General features: G+C 40.1%; 1 protein-coding gene and 1 long non-coding RNA gene across 6 annotated transcripts in view, besides 2 other annotated features; one reads left to right on the top strand and one right to left on the bottom strand.

The window, feature by feature from the left end:
• RORA (RAR related orphan receptor A) overlaps nt 1–13,575 on the top strand; it is a 741,019-nt gene that overhangs the window by 582,545 nt on the left and 144,899 nt on the right. The gene's annotated exons all lie outside the window — the stretch shown is intronic.
• LOC105370846 (uncharacterized) overlaps nt 1–13,575 on the bottom strand; it is a 30,635-nt gene that overhangs the window by 16,028 nt on the left and 1,032 nt on the right. The window contains exons 2-4 of one of the 3 annotated variants that reach the window (XR_007064663.1): nt 11,834–11,908; nt 8,486–8,597; nt 2,519–2,599 (exon numbers count right to left, since the gene is read on the bottom strand). This is a non-coding gene — a long non-coding RNA (uncharacterized LOC105370846). Of the gene's footprint in view, nt 1–1,730; nt 7,401–8,485; nt 8,598–11,833; nt 11,968–13,575 lie in introns of those variants that run through there. The other 2 variants (XR_007064665.1, XR_007064664.1) reach the window with 2 other exon arrangements.
• Nucleotides 11,095–11,908: an enhancer, noted in NCBI's record as "H3K4me1 hESC enhancer chr15:60927049-60927862 (GRCh37/hg19 assembly coordinates)". NCBI's record gives its function as "activates a minimal SCP1, AML or CMV promoter by ChIP-STARR-seq in primed H9 embryonic stem cells {active_cell/tissue: H9 hESC(primed)}" and the evidence as "EXISTENCE:reporter gene assay evidence [ECO:0000049][PMID:30033119]".
• Nucleotides 11,830–11,879: an enhancer, noted in NCBI's record as "active region_9511". NCBI's record gives its function as "activates an Ori minimal core promoter by ATAC-STARR-seq in GM12878 lymphoblastoid cells {active_cell/tissue: GM12878}" and the evidence as "EXISTENCE:reporter gene assay evidence [ECO:0000049][PMID:35858748]".

The raw sequence follows: 13,575 nt of genomic DNA, 5'->3' as shown, positions 1-13,575 counted from the left end.
TGCAATCCAGCCTCATCACCCTGGGTCTTGGTGCAGGGAGTAAATAAACAAATGGTCACATTGCTTTTACTTCTGGAGAGCAATGGGTTCTTATTCAAAATAGGAACAAGGGGCAAAACAAATGGCAAGTAGTAACAAAAGTATTGGGGGACAGTGGTGCCACCATTCGGGGGCTTGGAAGTCTGGTCTTTCTGAAGCAGTGCATTCACTTTTAAGTTTCTCTTTATTGTTCACATACCCGGGTTTTATTCAGCAAAAGTGACACATGTCTCACTAGGCAATGGGAATTCAAAAGTGATACCATGAGGTCCACCTTGTATTAAGGTTCAAAGTCATGTGATCCTATGTGATACAGGCTGTAATAGAGAGATATCTGGAGAAATATAGAAGTTCAGGAGAGGAAATTACCCTCCCTGGGGAATCAGGGAAGGTTCCATAGATAAGGTGACATTTAAATAGAATCTGAAAAGATGAATTAAGAGTTTGCGAGTTGGAAGCAAGGAAAAAGAGCATTTGGGCAGCTATGGTAGAGGTTTGATAAATTATGACTTCAGAGTTTACCCCCATATTCAAATCATGTTCCCTATAACTTACAGTGGAAAACTATGAAACAATAAGCTTGGCCCTCAACTCTGGTGACAAATAAACTCTCCCTGTCCTTTGAGATGTCCCTCAATGTACTTTTCCAATGCCAAATGAAGGTCAAGACTTTGCCAGGGTGTCTGAGAATTCCTAGCTTTCAGAGCATACGGGCGAGGCCCCGAAGTTGTGTTTTCATGCTCACATATGGTGCGGAATTTCTGCTTTTTACTGATTTGTTTCAGTTTATCCAGATATCTTTTACATAGAGAAGTGTGTATATGCGTCTGTGTGTATATGGCACGTATATGTATATGCTGTATATATGTATGATAACATATAACGAAATCAGCCCCTTAATTTTTTAAAAAAAAAAAAAAACCCTATTTCACTGAACATTTTACTGCAGTGGGAAGAAGAGGATGGGTAGTAAATAATGGGCTTCCTTCACATTAACACAAATGACTTCTAATTGATCTGTAAGGAAATTGGTCACCTTGGCTGATGCCTATAATCCCAGCACTTTGGGAGGCTGAGGCGGGTGGATCACTTGAGGCCAGGAGTTCGAGACCAGCCTGGGCAACACGGTGAAACCCCGTCTTTACAAAAAAATACAAAAATTAGCCAGGCGTGATGGCGCATGCCTGTAGTCCCAGCTATTCAGGAGGCAGAAGCAGGAGAATTGCTTGAACCCAGGAGGCAGAGGTTGCAGTGAGCCAGCAGAGTGAGACTCTGCCTCAAAAAAAAAAAAAAAAAAATTTATCTGTCAAGACCTTGTTGTTAGAATCTTCTAGCAGCTGAGCCACTGTAGATTTTTTTTTCATCATAGCCATTTTGCCACATGCCCTTTCATCTCCCTCCTTTGTCCTTTTTGCCACTCTCATCCATCTTCTCTCTCTCCCACCCTGAGATTCCTACTTCCTCCTCTCCTCCTTCCTTCTCTCCTTCCCCCTCCCTCATGCCACGATCCTCCTCGCCCAACAGTCTCTTGATTCCTGCCACTCATATCCTCAAGGTCATAGCTTATCATGGAATTTTTGTAAACCGGGACAGTTCCTTCCCTAAGAGAGATTTTGGAATTACAGTGTTTTTAATTTCTACTTGTTCATCTGTGACTCATTATATATCAGCACATGGCATACTTCCTGGCAATAAAGGGAAAATCAATATTATTTATTCTATAGATGACTCAGTTAACGAAATAGTACTTTGAGGAGGATTGCCTTTTCCTATTGTTTTACTATACTGTAATTCTGGCCTTGAATACTGAAAAAAAGAAGGCTTAGCCACCTTCATAAGACGGGCCCAGTGATTGGCCCCCGCAAGGAGAGATCCTCCAGCCACTGAAATCAGGCTCCCTAAATACTCCAAAGGTCATGTTCATTAGGCCAAGTGGCTACTTGGTCAGGACTTCCTAAAAGTCCAGGAAGGAGGACACACACCAGCCACAGAACACGGTTTGTCTCTTTGGGAAGAGAGAGAAGGAGGCATGGAAATGTGAAGGATACAACCATAACCTTTCATTTCTTTTGAAATGAGCTCAAATAGATTGGTCTAAATGTAAAACAGATGTGAAAATTTGGGAATAAGGACATGAGTTTACCATGTCTCTGCATGTTTACACGTTAATACTTTGCCGTTTTAAAAATATTCCATAATTTTTAAAAAGAGAAATCCCATGTCAAAGATTCCAATTGAAAATGAAGTTGCCCTTCTAATGAAGAGACATTTCAAAATATAATCTTCTTCCAAGAAGAGACGTATCTGGGGCCGTCAGCCCCCCAAAACAGGAGACGACTTTCAATGAATGTTATTAGCATGGGGCAAAAACCTCAAGTTTCACAAGAAGTTCTTGTTGCTTGAGTTCTTTGAGGCCTTTGTCTCTTACCACTGTTAATGTGTTTAAATAATTAGGGGCCTGTGTCAAAGACTCACATACCTGTCCACAGAAGCCTTCCCTGGTTGTTTGAAAGTCTTAAAATCTTGGTAAAATAGTCCTCTCTCCTCTCCCTCATGCTGCCTGTATAAGAAATGTTACAAAGAGCTTTAAGGAATTTTCTCAAATTAGTCCCCTCCTCAAGTCTTTTTCAAGGCAACATGGAAATAGTATTGCAAAATCAATCTTTTTTTTTTAATCCCAGTGGCTTCCTGTGCTATTCTAGTAACTTCCTGGGAAGGTGAGAGAAATGCACAGACATTCCCAAAGTCACTTTGGTTACTAATAAGTCTCAGAGAAGCCCTCATCACGAGGTTCTGTCCAAGCTGCCACACACTGTCCTGAACCTTCCTTCTCAGTTTTTTATTTATTTTTTCCCATTCTAGAACAGCCAGCAAATGATTTCACACCTTTTTGTTTAGCTGCTAAAAGCAACACAATAACTCCCCTCAGGGCTGCCTCTGTGGGTTCCAAAAATAAAATGGGCTCATTTTCATGCTAAGCATTCAAAGGCTCATAGGAATTCTAATGAAAGGCAAAGGAAGGAAAGAAGGAAGGAGAAAAGAGGGGTCAGGCTAGGGGGTGTCGCCAAGGAGGTTCAGCTTCTGCCTGGAGTTATAAGCCACCCCTGCTGGAAGGCATAGGTAGAAAATAACATAGTGCCTAGGCTGCAGATTAAAAGGAGATCTAATACAACTCTTAAACTCTCCAGCCTTATCTTCTTATCTTCTATCCTCAAACCCAGGGTTATTCTTGGAACACAAACTATTGTTCACCAAGAAGAGTGGTAGCCTCCTTCAGCCTTCCAGATTAGAAATCTCTCGAATAGGAAATAGCCAGTGACTTGCTTCCAAGTCAGAATATAAAACCATGGATCTCTGAGATTCTAGGTTAACTTTTGAAATTCAAAGTTCTCTGGGCCTAGGTCATTAGCAATAGCAGACTTATCATATTCCACACATGACAGAGTAGAAAGAACACTATTGATGCAAACCAAAGAATATTAACCAACATAGAATACATAAAAAGATTTCTTTTTAATTTAACTTAATGTGTGCATGTATGTATGTATGTATTTGTTTTGAGACCAAGTTTCGCTCTGTCGCCCAGGCTGATGGAGTGCAGTGGCGCAATCTTGGCTCACTGCAACCTTCGCCTTCCGGATTCAAGCAATTCTCATGCCTCAGCCTCCCGAGTAGCTGGGATTACAGGTGCACTTCACCAGGCCCAACTAATTTTTGCGTTTTTAAAAGAGGTGGGGTTTCGCCATGTTGCTCAGGCTGGTCTCAAACTCCTGGGCTCAAGCAATCCACTGACCTCAACCTCCCAAATGGCTGCCACCGGGCCCAGCCTGTATTTATTTTTTAAAGACAGTGTCTCTCTCTGTTGCCCAGGCTGGAGTGCAATGGCGTGATCATAGCTCACTGAATGCCTAGGCTTAAGCAATCCTCTCACCTCAGCACCTAGAGTAGCAAGGACTACTGGCATGCCACTACCACACTTGGCTAATTTTTAAATTTTTTTTGTAAATTTTTTGTTGCCTAGGCTGGTCTTGAACTTCCGGGCTCAAGTGATTCTCCTACCTCAGCCTCCCAAAGCACTGGGACTACAGGTGTGAACCACTATGCCGAGCAGTGTGAAGAGATTTCACTGAGAGCTTCCCGGAAGTGTGCATGTTACCCATCTACAGTAAGAGGAATCCTTGTAGGAAGGACATAGCTGACTAGCAGTTTACTTGCCTGAAATTTTAACATCCAGAAAAGGCAGCTGCTCATTATATTTCTAAGCAGGGCTTTACTTAGGTATGAGGCCAGACTGTTGGAAATGTCCTACACTGACTGGACCAACTCTGCCTTTCAGTAGCTTCTACTCACCGGTTCCAAATTTGTCCCACGGAATGGCACCAAATCTGTCTTTTCAGATTTGGTCCCAGTAATTGACAACTATCAGGTCTCTACCATCCCCTCCTTTTTAAGTTAGGCATTCCCATTTTCTTCTTTTTTTTTTCTCCTCACTTGGTTTCTACTTACTTCCCTGGGATGTGATCCACTTTACCGTGTCCCTCTTAAAGCACGGCCCCAGCAGTGGTCTCACGTGCACAGAGCACAGTGGAAAGAATGACTCCCTGAGCTAAAGGACATACTATTCACACAGCCCGAGCTCACCTGAGCCACTTCTTTCAGCAGATGTGTTATATTGTGGGGTCACTTTCCTTTTCAAGATCTGTGAAGAAAGGGCATGCTAAGCAAACTCTAAATAGGTTTGCTCAGAGAATCGCAATGCTACTTAAAGGTACCAAATTTTTAAATGGGTTAGAAGGATCCTTTGACATACAAATACTTGACATGCAAAATATAAGTCCTTATTTTTTTTTTATTAAAGCAGATACCCGAAGTGCCTCTACTTGGTAAACTTAATATGAGTTACTGTATGTTGAGTGTTTGAAAATTTTCTAATTGTGTTTCTTTAAAATTATCCCAGGATTTAGTCTTTCTGTCCAAGGAATCATAGAATCTTTAGAAATGGAAAGGAAGCTGGGCGTGGTGGTTCATGCCTGTAATCCCAGCACTTTGGGAGGCTGAGGCGGGCGGATCACCTGAGGTCAGGAGTTCGAGACCAGCCCGGCCAACATGGTGAAACCCCGTCTCTACTAAAAATACAAAAAATTAGCCAGGCATAGTGGCACATGCCTGTAATCCCAGCTACTCGAGAGGCTGAGGCAGGAGAATCACTTGAACCCAGGACGCGGAGGTTGCAGGGAGCTGAGATTGTGCCATTGCACTCCAGTCTGGGCAACAGAGCAAGACTCCATCTTAAAAAAAAAGAAATGGAAAGGACATAGATTTTTCAAATCCAGTCACCAACTTTCAGGACGATATTTTTATCCCATTATACGTATTTATTCAGAATCCATTCTTCACATGCTTCCCAAGGGCCTCCTAGGTACAGGCATTGTTCTAGGTTTACTCAGCAATGAAAAGCATAGTCCCACACCAGGTGTGGTGGCTCTTGCCTGTAATCCCAGCACTTTGGGAGGCTGAGGCAGACGAGTCACTTGAGGCCAGGAGTTCGAGACCATCCTGGGCAATGTGGCGAGACCCCATCTCTACAAAAATACAAAAAATTAGCTGGGCATGGTTGTACACACCTGTAGTCCAGCTACTCAGGAGGTTAAGGTGGGAGGATGGCTTGAGCCCAGGAGGTCAAGGCTACAGTGAGCTGAGATCACGCCACTGAACTACCACCTGGGCAATAGAGCGAGATTCTGTCTCAAAAAAAATTAAAAGAAGAGAAAAGCATAGTCCCCTTTTTTCCTGGAGCTCACATTCTCATGGGGGAAAACAGAAAATAAACAGATAAACAGTATTTAAGATACTTTCACATAGTGACAAGTGCTATGAAGAAAATAAATTAGGGCTGTGATAGAGAGTGACTAGGTCAAGGATGACAAATTTTAGGAGGGAACATTTGACCTAGGAGAAGGTTTCAAGCACAGGAGAATCTAGAAGAAGCATCTTCCAAGCCATGGAAACAGCAAATTAAAAGGCCCTGCGGTAGAAATAAACTTGGAGTGTTCTGGAAACTGAAAAGGGCCAGTACAACCGGAAAAAAAAAATTTTATAGAAGAAAAAAGCAGTAGCAAGTGGAGTCTAAAAGGAAAGCGGTAGGCAGGGGCTTGATCACATGGGCCTTTGAAGGCTGTGGTGAGGAGCTTGGATTTTACTCTAAGTTCAGCCACGGGAGGGTTTTAGGCAGGGTAGGGGCATGATGTGATTTACATTTTTAAAATGCCCTCTCTGCCTGCTATGTGGAGATGGATTGCACTGGGTTTAAAAACAGAAGGAGGAAAACCAGTTAGGAAGGCATCGCAACGGCCTACACGTTGGACTGACATGGCAGCAATGACAATAGAGAGAAGTGGATAAATTCTAAATATATTCCGGAGGTAGAACCAATAGGACTTGCTAAGAGAGATGCAACTGATGTCCAGGGGGCTTAAATGATTTGCCTAAAAGGGGAGAAGGGGAAGGGCGCCAACAAATGCTGAGCACTTAGTAGTGCCATGTACTTTACTCCTCACATGAATCCTAGTGATGCTGCGAGAGGAATATTATTTTACCCACATCTTCTATATGAGGACTCTCAGGCTCAGAGAAGTTAAGTAATTAACTCCAAATCAAACAAAGGGTAAGTGATAAAGCTGGGATGCCAACCCATGCCTGTTTGGCTCCATATCTCACAGTCTCCCTCCACGATACAACAGTGTTTTCCAAAGCAATGATAGGGGAGAAACTCTGAGCACAGACTCCTGGGGTAGGGCTCCTTCTACCCTTTTCTTGCAAATTATTGATGCTTTATGACATTGTAAGCAAATACCATCATCAACTGCACATCTTCCCATGTCATTATATTTAACCAAAACAAGGACGCCTTTCTCTCATTACTCTTCTACCACCTTCCCATGTTCCTCACAACCCGTGAGTCAGGGTCGGCTCAGCTCTATGCACTTTAACTATGAGAGACAGGAGCCCGCCTCCCCTCCTGAGGTGCTGTAGCTGGAAATTGCTTGTGCAACCCGATGACAACTTTTCTATATTTAGCAGAAAAAGTGGTGGCAAGGATCTGTCCAGCTCAATTTTTTTTACAGTTTCAATGTTCGAAATCTCTCAGACAATCTCCTGAAAGGCACATTGGCCTTGACAGTATCTGAGCGGAAGGAAATTTTCCCCATCTCACAGGGCTGTCCACTGGAAGCCGGGACGTGGAGATCCACTGTAGAGCAGAGACTTGACATGCCAAACGCTCCTCCCACACCTTGCTCTACACCCCACGAAACGGGGAGACACTGGTCCCGTTGAAGCTTCGATGGCTTTTAAGTGTTATTCTAAGAAGGGAAAATAAGCATGAAAGATTCAAGGGGGAAATGGACTATCTCTTAATTGTTTATGCCTTTAATTGACATGTATGGCACTTGGTTTTTATTTCTTTTCAATGTGGCATGCAAAAAAAAAAAAAAAAAAAATACAAAAACCTGCTTATGGTTTAAAGAACAAAGATAAACTTGCCTGATTGAAACGGGGAGGAGGGGGGTGGTGAAAAAACTGCAGCAGGTATTTCAAGTGCTTACTATGACAAAATCATTGTCACAGAGACTGCCCATCACTGATACTTAAAGTGACTAATTAGAGAAGGAGGCACGGTTTCGCTGTTCTCAAGCCAGACTAACGCAGATATAGTATATTGCCCGTGACTCTGACCCTCATCCCCGTTGGTCAGCCAGAGAGAATTATCTACTAATGAAAAGCATAAAAATTAAGAAGAGCTAAGAAAAGGGGAAAGTAGAGACCATTAAAGTAAAATGGGAATCTTTAAGACAGTAAAATAGTGCCAACTGTATCACAAAAAGGGAAGGTGCAGGGAAAAAAAATTATTTCCACTGAAAACTTACTTATAGCCCTCTGCTTTTTAACATGCAAGATGTATCAGTCGTTGGTTGTCAAGGGAAAAAAGCCCACTACAAAAGAATTCCTATTAGCTTTAGAAATAGCAGTTTTAAGGAGTAGTTTTTTCATAACTTCATCCAGTCCCCAACCTCATTTTGGGTGAAATCTTATTCGGAGGAAAAGCACTTGGTTTAGCTATGTCCTGTCTCATTTTCACAAAACCTCTTCTAATGAGATGAGTTTTAGTGTTTCTGTGTCTATTAAGGTAAGAGGTGAAGAAATAGAAAATCCACTTTTTGTAACTTTGCACTTCTTGGGACTAATGCTTCCAGTACTGGGTTCTAGATGTTAATTAACAGGCCATTATTAAGAAAAAAAGCTTTTATACCATTTGACAAAAAAAAAAAAAAAAGAAAAGAAAATACAGTTAAATAAGGACAAGAAAAAAATCACCTATAACCCCATCACCTTAAGCTATCCACTGTTAACAAGCCTTAAAAAGAAAACAAAATTATTTGGCACACACCTTGTAGAACCCCACCAGGACTGTCGTAATTCAGGCCTTCTCTCATTTTTTATTTTGTGACAGTTTCTGGCAATTTTCTACAGATAGATGGGTTGATATCTTTACTCGTGCCCTAGAAGAGAGAGGATCTTTTTAACATTAAATGTCTCAATCTCCTCACTGGAAATTTTCTTTACTTAAGATGAACCAAAAGGTACCTAATTCTTCTTTATATTACTGTTTCTACAAATGTCAAGAAAGTCCTTTCTGATTTTCTGTGTCATAGCATGAACCCCACCCTTTATAGACACAAGAGCTAACACTGCATCGTTTTCACCTAAGACCTAAAACTTTAAAGGCAAAGATTCTCTTTCTCCAATAATTTTAGACAGCCTTCTGGTATGTCATCTTGGCCACCTTTTAAGTTGAAAGAAATAAGAATAGTTAAAAGAACTTTAGAAAAAAAAGAAAGAAAAAAAGAAAGAAAAGGACTAGGGATGGAGAAACTACTGATAAATGAATAGGCAAAGAGATCAGTAAAGTGCTGAAAGAAAACCCCAAAACATAATCTCGCATATGTAAAAAGAATCTTGCATATGTGTCAATAGAATACATATATAAGCTGTGGGGAAAAAGTAATAAATTGTGCATGATGATTTTTAGCTTATCAGAGAAAAATAAATTTTTTTCACGCCGTATAACAAATCCTAGATAAATTCAAGAAATATTTTTGAAAAATTAATTAAATAACGAGAATGTATTTCTGCATATTTATCTAGATACAGGCAGATTTTCTCTACTTTACAGTAATAGAAGAAATTACAGAATACAAAGTTCAATACATTGAAATATAGAGAAAAATAAAATTTTTGTATGTCAAAAAAGATCATAAACAATCAGCAAAAAGGACAAAAAGCAAACTGATAAGAAGATGTATTTTTTCAAATATTAAGGCACAAAATAAATAACCTTAATATATAATGTGTTTCATTAGTCTGTAAACAATTTTCAGCCTTACCAGTAAATACAAAGTATCAGAGGCCTAACAAGATAGCATGATTTTTAAATGACATTAATCAATTCAGTCAGTTTCAGAAAGACATTAATATACTGTGAATATAAATTGATACAGCTTTCTTGGCGATAGGTACTAAAGTCTTGAAAATGATGATACTCTTTGATTTGGTAATCCTACTTCCAGTAGATTATTCTAAGGAAATAATTTAAAAAGTAAAGATTAATGCACACAAAAACCATGTTTATTTAATACTATTTATAATGGCTAAAATTCTAAACACTCTGAATGTCCTTTATTAGGAAAATTATTAATAAATTATAATATAGTCATATGATGGCAAATTATACTGCCATTAAAATAATATTTAAAGAATTAATAAACACATGAGAAAATATTTTTGATTGAATAAAAAGTAGTATGTGAAATTCTGTGCACAGAATGATTTTAGTTGTGAAGATTTTTAAAAGCATACGAAAAAATAGAGAAAATACTGGCAAGAACCCTCCCTGGATGGTAGTGGTGGTTGCATTTGGCTAATAAGATAATATGATGCGGTGATATTTTGTAGGCTTCTTTTAACTTCTTTCTAAGTTTCAAATTTTCTACCAGGTATATATGTATTATTTTTAGAACCTTTTAAAAAATAAGAAAAATCAAACTACAAAAACAAAAAAGAGCCAATGGTAGGCATCCTTTTCCTTCAGAAATCTATGTCTTGTACTGGTTAGTAGGGATAATCAGATACTTCTAAGCCAAGAGTGGTACTATTACCTACTTTTATTCAAGTTCACTCCAGAGGGCAGATTGCTAGATGATTTTGGGGGGCGGGGATTCGCTATTAAAAGTAATTGCAAAAACCACAATTACTTTTGCATCAACCTAATACTTTCTCTTCTTGCCCTTTCTCAGGTTTTAGTTTCCTCTTCTCTTTTATTCCTTCCTCCCACATTTGATGCAAGTAAAAGCCAGGGGAATGTAAGCATCACATCCCTACCTCTTTCTAGGAATAGAAAGATGGGATTGTTTTCACCTGTCTTCCAAGCCTGGGTGGACAGACAGTAGATGAAGAACATCGGTTTCTTGTTCAGGAAAGGGAAGAAGTGGTTTCTGTGGGACATGGGTGAGCTTCTTTAGCTCTCATTCTTGTAGAACTAAGGTTTCTAGATACACACAGAACATTCTTCCTCAAGGAGTTCATTTGAGAATCACACAGAGAGACTATTTAACCTGAAGAGAGCTTTCGGCATTTTAAAAATGGCAAGTCTTACAGACTCCATAACCACTACCACTGCTACCACCACAACCACAGAGAGAGCCAGATCTGAAAATACAGGAACTGATCTGAAAATATAGGAACTGAAAATTCAGTCAGTCAAATTTGGAGTTGATTTGGGCAGAGGATAGGAGATGAACAGGCTGAGGATGTTTCTCCAGCCAAGACAAGAGTGCAGCATTTTTTTTAGTTGAAATTAAAAAGAAAATGCAGAGTGTACTTTGTCCCACTCATTTACCCTAACGATCTTCAGCGTGTCTCTGTTTCTAAGGAAGTGGAGGGCCCAAGTCTCTGATTCATTTCCGGAATGCCACATAGCACCCTTGGATGAAAGCTCCTCTATCCAAGACGACTTTGGAAACGCCTTTTAAAGTGTTCTTTCCCTTTACATCTTGGAGTTCCATTTTGATGGCAGAAAGTATATTTTAATCAATAGAGTCAAATGCAGTTAACATCTGAGTACACAGATTTTGAATATGTCTGGCAAGAAACACCTTAATAAAGATGACAACTTGACAACCTCCTACAATTTATTACATAATTAATTGTGGCTATTTTTTAAATATCTAGAACCCAGGAACCAGGAAACTCCAGCTTTTAAAATCAAATTATCTTTGCATTTAGTTCTCCCCCTTTCTCCCTTCTCCACATCAAAAAAATCTAATTTATTCCAAAACACAGAATTCAGCAATACACTACCATCACCCTAAGGTTTAACATTCTTCCTACTAAGAATAAGTTAAAACAGCACATTATCCTCAAATTTGGAGGTTAGGAAGAGAAATATATGGGAAGATATAACAGCTATCCTTAAATTGCAATTTGAGGGCCACCGTCATTTGCATTCTGCTTGCCCTGAGGCGGCACATCGATGTGCAGAGTCATGGTGGCGGCAGCCTGGCCTGGGTGACAGAAACCATTAAAGGGAAGCAGAGGGGCAGGCCGTGCTCCGTGGGTTTCATTAGCTTACTTCTTGTGTAGGAGGCAAAAGGTATCTGCAGGGCTCTGGGCTTGCTAACCAAACCGTTAATCGCTTAGAAACAGCAAGAAGTTCACTAGTGAGATGTTTATCACATACCTGGAACACGAGTTGACTTTCTGTGAGACATCATTCTGGAATGAAAGCCAAAATCTCTCTGCTATTCAGTTGAGGCTGAAAAAACAATCACATCAGAATTAGTAAGGCAAAAGACAAAGAGAGAGAAATGAAAACAAGCCAGTATTCAATGGGGCTAGGGGGAAAATTACCTGGGCTTCAGGAATTACAGGAGAGTTGGGGTTTTGAGAAGGTAAAAAAGTGGGCCAGGTGCGGTGGCTCAAGCTTGTAATCCCAGCACTTTGGAACGCCAAGGCAGGTGGATCACGAGCTCAAGAGATTGAGACCAGCCTGGCCAACATGGTGAAACCCTGTCTCTACTAAAAACACAAAAATTAGCCGGGCGTGGTGGCGGGCGCCTGTAGTCCCAGCTACTCCAGAGGCTGAGGCAGGAGAATCGCTTGAACCCGGGAGGGGGAGGTTGCAGTGAGCCGAGATTGTGTCTCAGTGCTCCAGCCTGGCAACAGAGCGAGACTCTGGCTCAAAAAAAAGAAAAAAAAAAAAAAAGTGGTAGCACTGCTTCTCTCAGAAAGACAAATGTCTGGAATACACAAGTGGCACTGAATGTCTCAGGTCACTGAGAGAGGCTGGACAGAGGACTGTGGGAAAGTGCAAGTACTAGGTGACTTTAAAGGACATCCCAAAAGTCCAGGTTGAAGTGATTTTTAATGAGAATGTGCATGCTGTGTATCTTTTTTACGTATTCTAAAAGTAATAGACAATTACAATTATTTTAAAACTCCATCATTACAGAAAAACATAATATTAAAAAGACCCCACCCAGAGATTATCACTGTGAAAAGCTGGGGGTATTCTTCATATTTCTAAAGAATATACTAACATATATTTTAGTCTGTACATGTATATTTAATTCTTTGCTTCAACAAGCCGTTGAAAAGGATACTCAGTTTGTAACTTCACAGCCATGTGAAGAAGAAAAGAATATTTAGGGATCATTGGTACATAATACCTTGCATCTCTCTGCAGCATATGAAATTGAGTTTCAACCCTATTTAAAGAAGGATTTCCCTGGTAAAAATACCTTTATATACATTTCTCAGGTTGGAGGAAGATAAAAGAAACTACATATGATATTTGGGCTGGGCAGTTTATTTTCATCATGGTTCCTTTTAATTACTCAGCAATTTCAGGCAATCATCCACTTTCACACCATAGTTTTCCCTTGTATACAATGGGAAGAGGGATAGAAAATCTGAACTTGGGGACTTGGTCTCTGAGCACTGCTACCAACTACACCTGCCTTTTGGCAAATACCCAACTCTTCTCAGCTGAGGTCACACATTCTGCCAGCTCTCAGGAACCAGGAGGCTCAATTACCTGTATTTTCAAAGACCTCTGAACTCTCTTAGGAAGGGGGCTATTTAAGTTCAGCGTCACATTATCCAGTTCCTGAAGCATTCATTTTATAGAGATAGGGAAGAAAAGTTCAGAGATTGAGCTGTGCTCCAAAGGAAGTTTGGAAAAACGTTTTCTATATATTATAAGTTAAAGAAATGCTTTGTGGTTTGAGAAAAATCACACTATGCTTCCACACAAATAATATACATCTCAGAAATAAAATGCTTAAATTAAATATTAATTTAAGATCATCAGAATTCGAACTGGCACACGTTCACCTTCTCCTTCCTTTACTGCAAGGTGCTCTGTGGTTATCTGCTACCAACACAAACCTGTGAAAAGTGCAGCATTGCTGCTGTCACTTT

This window comes from Homo sapiens, chromosome 15 (genome assembly GCF_000001405.40).
Source record: "Homo sapiens chromosome 15, GRCh38.p14 Primary Assembly".
NCBI classification, from domain to species: Eukaryota; Metazoa; Chordata; class Mammalia; order Primates; family Hominidae; genus Homo; species Homo sapiens.
This window is presented reverse-complemented; position numbering and strand designations above follow the sequence as displayed.